Source organism: Homo sapiens, chromosome 2 (assembly GCF_000001405.40).
Source record: "Homo sapiens chromosome 2, GRCh38.p14 Primary Assembly".
Taxonomy (NCBI): domain Eukaryota; kingdom Metazoa; phylum Chordata; class Mammalia; order Primates; family Hominidae; genus Homo; species Homo sapiens.
The window spans coordinates 79156352-79162408 of NC_000002.12; the positions used below are offsets into that span (position 1 = coordinate 79156352).

At 44.2% G+C, this 6057-nt stretch overlaps 1 protein-coding gene across 3 annotated transcripts; it reads right to left on the reverse strand.

The window, feature by feature from the left end:
• On the reverse strand, positions 655-3402 carry REG3A (regenerating family member 3 alpha). 3 transcript variants are annotated; one of them, NM_138937.3, is made up of 6 exons: positions 3377-3402; positions 2979-3065; positions 2300-2418; positions 1975-2112; positions 1221-1347; positions 655-942 (listed from the first exon to the last, which is right to left on the reverse strand). In NM_138937.3, the coding sequence occupies exons 2-6, from the start codon at positions 3052-3054 to the stop codon at positions 875-877; spliced, it is 528 nt and encodes a 175-aa protein (NP_620354.1). In that variant the 5' UTR covers positions 3055-3065; positions 3377-3402; the 3' UTR covers positions 655-874. The 3 variants fall into 3 exon arrangements, with proteins under 3 accessions (NP_620354.1, NP_002571.1, NP_620355.1); NM_002580.3 differs by having other exon boundaries at positions 2979-3088; NM_138938.3 differs by having other exon boundaries at positions 2979-3402.

The window sequence follows — 6057 nt, forward strand, 5'->3', positions numbered from 1 at the left end:
CAGAGGCCACTGGGTCTTACTGAGGCAAACCTAGTGTTAGGGTCCATGGAAAACTCAAGTGCTTATTTCACTCTCTTTCCCCAAGTTTAGGGAATGTCTCTCCATGCTGTGCTTACTGAGATTGATGGAGGGGTGATATAAATAATGTAAAAGTCTTCTTTCTACCCTCTTCGATGCATCCTTTCTTATTTTTTGCAACATTCAGATGCTTTAATCACTCACTTGGGATTGTTAGCTCTTGTGAAGGTATTTCCATTTTAATGGGTAGTAGTTCAAATGAATGTTTCTGTGAAGGTTCAAGAGCTGGAAAGTCCTATCTACCATCCTGCTGATGCCATTCTCTGAGAAGTACTATTCTAAGCACCATCAGAGCCTCCTAAATCTGTTCATGTCACACTGTCAGGTTTGGGCTACGGGAATGGGAGGGCAGTAAGTACGCGGGAGAGAAATGTCCTCATCTCTCCACAACACAAATCCTACATGAGCAGGACCCACACCCTCATCATAACACACTGGTAGGGATGCACACTTCATCATTTTCCCTAGAGGCCTGGGTGAATAGGGAAGAAGCAAGACCCATAAAGTTTCCTCCACTCAAACACTTTGTCCTTCTCAGAGTATGGCTATGACACTGGCATATACAAGACAAACAAGTGCAGACTAAAAATTTTATTGCTCTTTAAAGCCTTAGGCCGTATGACAAAATGAAGAGACTGAAATGACAGCGGGGAGGAAGAAACAGAAGAAAGATAAGAATGAGGTGGTCAGGTTGGGGGAATTAAGCGAATATTCTCTTCCAGGGTGAGTCCTCACACTGGTCTCATGCCCATGATGAGTTGCACACCAAACACAGGCTGCTGACTTCCCTCCTGCACTAGTCAGTGAACTTGCAGACATAGGGTAACCTCACATTACAGTTATAATCTTTCCACCTCAGAAATGCTGGAGAGACAGAAGACATAAATGGAATGGGGCTGAGGAAGCTTGTGAATCCAATGAAGGGGCATCCCAGGTTTTAGCCTAGAAGTTAAAGCCTCTCCCTCACCTTCACCAGTGTCCCAATCCAGGAGAGAGATTCAAAGAAAGTGGAGAAGAGAGGAGATAAGAGAAGACACACTAACATTGTATTTTCTAGCTCAGGAAGATTTCCTGAAGGTCAGACCCAGGAATGGGGGATGAGATGGAAAACACTGGGAAGAGGCAGCTCCTCTGTTTCTTACCTGTGCTTCTCGACAGGCTCGCACAGTGGCCGGGGCTTGAGATGGTGGAGGGATTTCTCTCCCATGCAAAGTAATTCATCACATCACTGCTACTCCACTCCCAACCTTCTCCATTGGGCTCGGTGCCCTGTAGAGTAGAGGAGGTAGCCAGGTGAAGGGAATGGCCATTGCAGCTCTTCTTGCATGGCCCCTTAGCTGCAACACCTGATTTGCTCCCCAGCATGAGGAAAGTTGGTCTGCTATTCCAGATGCTGCCGGTGAGTAGGAAACTCTTCCTTGACTCCTCATTGCTATTGGAAAATTCCAGCCAATAAACATAAGACCTTTGGAACAACTCAAGGTAATATATTATTTGCAGAACAATAATTGATGTAGCATTTGTGATTAGCTTGTGAACCTCAAAAGTAATGTCAGTTCTGTATGGGGACAAAAATTGATCCTATCTTCATTAAGAGTTCCTTCAGAATAGTAGGCAAAGACTCCATGAAGCTCAGAGAATTGTTAACCCAGCCTCATATGAGAATTATGTAATACGCCTGAGGAAGGCAGATTGATTTTATCTGAAAGATAGAGACCTCCACAGAACTCAGATCTTCAGATGCTTCATGGCCTTCCCTTTCCCCCCAAATATTCCCCAGAATCTGAGCTCCAGTGCTCCCTGAAGTACTTCCTGGGCAGGCACAGGGGACAGGGAGTGGGCCTGGGCAACAATAGCACCTTGAGAGGTAACAGAGAGGGGAGGATATACTGGCACCTGTGTGGGGTCATGGAGCCCAATCCAGACGTATGAGTAGCTGTTACCAATGCTCTTCACCAGGGAGGACACGAAGGATCCCTCAGCCCCACTGAGCACAGACACCAGGTTTCCAGAGGGCCGCTTCTGGCAGGCCAGCTTTGAGGGCAACAAAGAGAATGAGAGGGAGCCTGAGACCTGCTGAGGGAGGGCAGGGCAAAGGTAGGTGGGAGGAGGACTGTGTGAAAGATAAACGTGTTCATCCTCATTCCCAAGGAACTCTCCTGAATGGAGACCCTCCTCCCCCTGAGACCGGTCACCTCCAACACCACATCTAACCACTCACATCTGCATCTGTCCAGGATTTTGGTGACAAAAACAAGGCATAGCAGTGGGAGCCATAGGCCTTGGAGCCTTTGGGACAGCGGATCCGTGCAGAGGGCAGTTCCCTCTGGGGTTCTTCACCTGAGGTGGAAGAAGAGGGGGGAGGGTAAAATGAAGAGTGGGGCTTGGGGTGGGAGATGACCTTGGGGAATACCTAGGAATGTCCTTGGGGAGGAAGACCACATTCCTGACACCCCTTCATCTTCCCTTATGTTTTCAGAAATTCTTTATCTCAAAATAGCCGTAGTAAATGGAGCACCATCCAGTCTCTTATTACCCTTTCCCCTTATTCAACCATTCAATACTCTCCTCACTCTGGGCTGTCTCTACATTGGGTCCTCCAATCATTGTCCCTCCCCACATCTCATTACTGACCCTCCAGTGTATATTAGAGTCCACTTTCCCACCAGTGTATATTAGAGTCCACTGACTAAATGGAAGCCATCTCATTCCACTGTTAGTGGACCACCATGGAGCCTCCCACTGCAAGTTAACCTGAAGGAAGGAGAGATGATGCAAGAACTGCAGGCAGGTTCATTAGACACCACGTCATTACCTCACATGACACACAGGAGCCTTCCTCCTCTTGTTAGCTCTGAGGATTCATAGGGAACCCAGTGCTAGAGGCAAAGCAATCTCACCTTGAACCTGAGACAGCAGCATGAGGCAGGAAAGCAGCATCCAAGATACACTGGGCAGGGCCATGGGAGGCAGCATAGTGTCTGCGACTTGAGGAGGCAATCAGGAGTCACTAAAGAAAGCGTGGTCAGTGGGAGAACACACAGATACCCCACTGCCTCATGTCATTTTCCTTCTCTAGTCCCCTAGGACTAAAGTGATCTTGGTCACATCCATCATCTTCTACAGTTCTGAATGAGTTGTGAATCTGTGTACTCTCCCATCCCCGAGCCCTCCCAGGACACCCTTGCTGAGTCTCAGAGTTCCTGTGCTCCCTGAGGAAGGGACCCTCCCATGTATTCTCCTGTGTCATGTGCAGTAGCTCCTCCCTGGGTCTCATCTTCTCTCAGCTCCCACTTACCTCTCTGGTGGGATATGGTATGGTTTGTCTGGTCAGGAAAGAGTGGGATTTTATAAGAGGATCTGGGGGAGGGACATTGGAGTGAAGAGTGACAATGAGTAGGCAGGACAGGGGTCATGGGGTGGGGTTGGCATGGACTCTTCCTGGCAAAGACTGGGGATTTTCCCAGATGTTGCCTCTTTCCTGTTGGCAGGCCAACACTTTCCCTAGGAAGAGGTGAAGTTTGCTTTTTCCTCTGCATCCTCCTTGTCAAAGGCCTGTGGCACCAAATGTGATATGAAATCTTCTAATGTGGACATCTGAAAGAGGAGTTCCTCTGGTGGGTTTCTTAAGAACCCACTTCTGGAGGCAAACCTATGTATTTCTTATTACCTTGCCTAGTAAGATTAAATAAATGTTAGGTGTTAAGTGAAGATTTACGGGAATTATAAGTATCATGGACAGTTGAGGACATAGATGGTACTGAAGCTAAGAGTAGGAGTGAGGGTTCAGGGCCATTATGCAAGCATGATAGCTAATTTTGATGAAACTTCAGAATTGTCTGACAAGTCAATACATGAGCCACAATCTTACAGAAAATCAGGTGAATGGACTTGTCTTTCCAGTCTTCAGCAAGAAAGAGCTTCCCCAGTGGAGAATGACAATGGCAATGTGATAGAATAAGAGGTAATGAAGGAAAACAAGACATAAGAAGGACTACAGTCAAATAATGAGGATCAAAGAAGAATGAATAATAGTTAAAGAAGGGAAGAGCAGCCATTGTGTAAAATCATAGGTCAGTTGGCCAGGTGCTGTGGCTCAGGTCTATAATCCCAGCACTTTGAGAGGCTGAGGTGGGAGGATCACCTGAAGCAAGGAGTTCAAGAGCAGCCTGGGCAACACATTAAGACCCTATCTCTACAATTTATATTTTAATTTAAGCCAGTTGCGGTGGTGTGTGCTTGTGGTCCTAGCTACTCAGCAGGCTGAGGTAGGAGGACCTTCAGTTGAACCCAGGAGTTCAAGGCTGCAGTAAGTTATGATCATCCCACTGCACTCCAGCTTAGGCAACAGAGTGAGAGCCTATCTCTAAATTTTTGTTTTGTGATGTTGTAAACATAATTCTGAATTGCATGTAAGTCTCTATTACATCAAAATGCTCACTACTTGTAGGTTGCTCATGAGCTTCCTTGCTGGACTGCCATTTGGCTGTACATTAAAAGCCCTTTTCATTGCATTCTTACTGGGCAAATGGTCAGCTTCATATGGGTATACTGGGAGAAGTTCTTTTAGTCATGTTTATTTTTGAGTTAGCAGTTTGGTGCCTCTGACAAGCATACTACATTGCCCATACACTGGTTCAGGTTCAGTTTGGCCAGTCCAGGAAAAAGTTAGGCTGGGAATTTCTACAGACCCTGACTCTCATGCTATTGTTGTAATATGCCAACTTGTATGCAGATGTTTATAGTAGGGGTCTGTGACGAGGTCATGAGATGTAGCTCATCCTTAATTCACGTCCTCAAAATTCAGTACCCAAAATTCAATGCAATTCCTCAAATAATATGAGAAGAAATATAGCCAGCAGATTATTTTGTTAAAAAGGATTTTTTTCCACAAAATTTATACAACAATATGTAAACACATGGAGGTACGGGGTAGAAGGTAACCAGAGGGTAGAATAGTTACCAGAGGCTGAGACGGGTGAGGGGAGATGAAAAGAGTTTAGTTCATCGTACAAACATACAGCTAGATAGGAGGAATATGTTCTAGCTTTTGATAGCACATAGGGTGACTATAGTTAACAACAATATGTTGTATATTTCAAGATACCTAGGAGAGAAGATTTGAAATGCTGACAGTTTATTATTAAAACTCACTTTTGTTCTTAATTGAAATAGTGTGACCTTTGTAATAAGCCTTAAGGTTATAAAATCCCTAAGTGCAATGTGAAATTTTCTTTGCAATGACACTCACTAAACTCACTAAAGTTGAGTTGTTTTTGTTTTATTTTTCATTGTTTCTTCATAACAATGCTTATTAACCAAGCACTGAGAAGTTTGTTTAAATATTATATTTCTTGAGCTGGTTTTGAGTTATATAAAAATCTACTTCTTAGGGATGACACAGGAATTCTTATTCTTGATGTAACCAAGGCTGAGTTTTAAGGAGCTTCCTTTGCCAAAAGATGTCCAATTTGTACTTTTATCCCTATTATCTTCTGAATCAGATATTTGCAGATAAGACTTAGTAGTCATTCTTAGAATTATAAAAGTGAAAACTGATCTCTTTGCAGGAGCCTAATATATTTGTTTCAAGGATGGTAAAATGTAGAGGTTTCCTGGAAGATGGCTCAGCAGGGTCCATGTCAAAAATAGCCTTGAACTGTATCTCACTGGAGATTTATCACTAAAGTGCACCCCTTTGAGATATATTAACCAGATGTCCAGAATGCCACTTTGGTCCTTTCATCTTATCCTAACACTGTCAGAAGAATTGGGAAAGGGATAAGATTAGGTGCTGAGCAACTATAAAACAGGAAAAAGGGACAAAACTTCAAAGCCCCTGAGGCCAATGAGGGAAGTTATTAACATCAAAGAACTGGAAAGCTGATAACATAGCTACTGAAATTTGGTCAATTATACGTAAGCCATGAACAGTAACTATCATATGACCTGTGCAGTTATTGGAGGCAATAATTTTTA

Coding starts and splice junctions, on each gene's coding strand:
- REG3A (NM_138937.3), bottom strand. CDS start 3,054: ATGCTGCCTCCCATGGCCCTGCCCAGTGTATCTTGGATGCTGCTTTCC. Junction 1,348..1,974: donor GGCTCCATGACCCCACACAG/GTGCCAGTATAT, acceptor TCTACTCTACAG/GGCACCGAGCCCAATGGAGA. Junction 943..1,220: donor GAGCCTGTCGAGAAGCACAG/GTAAGAAACAGA, acceptor CTGTCTCTCCAG/CATTTCTGAGGTGGAAAGAT.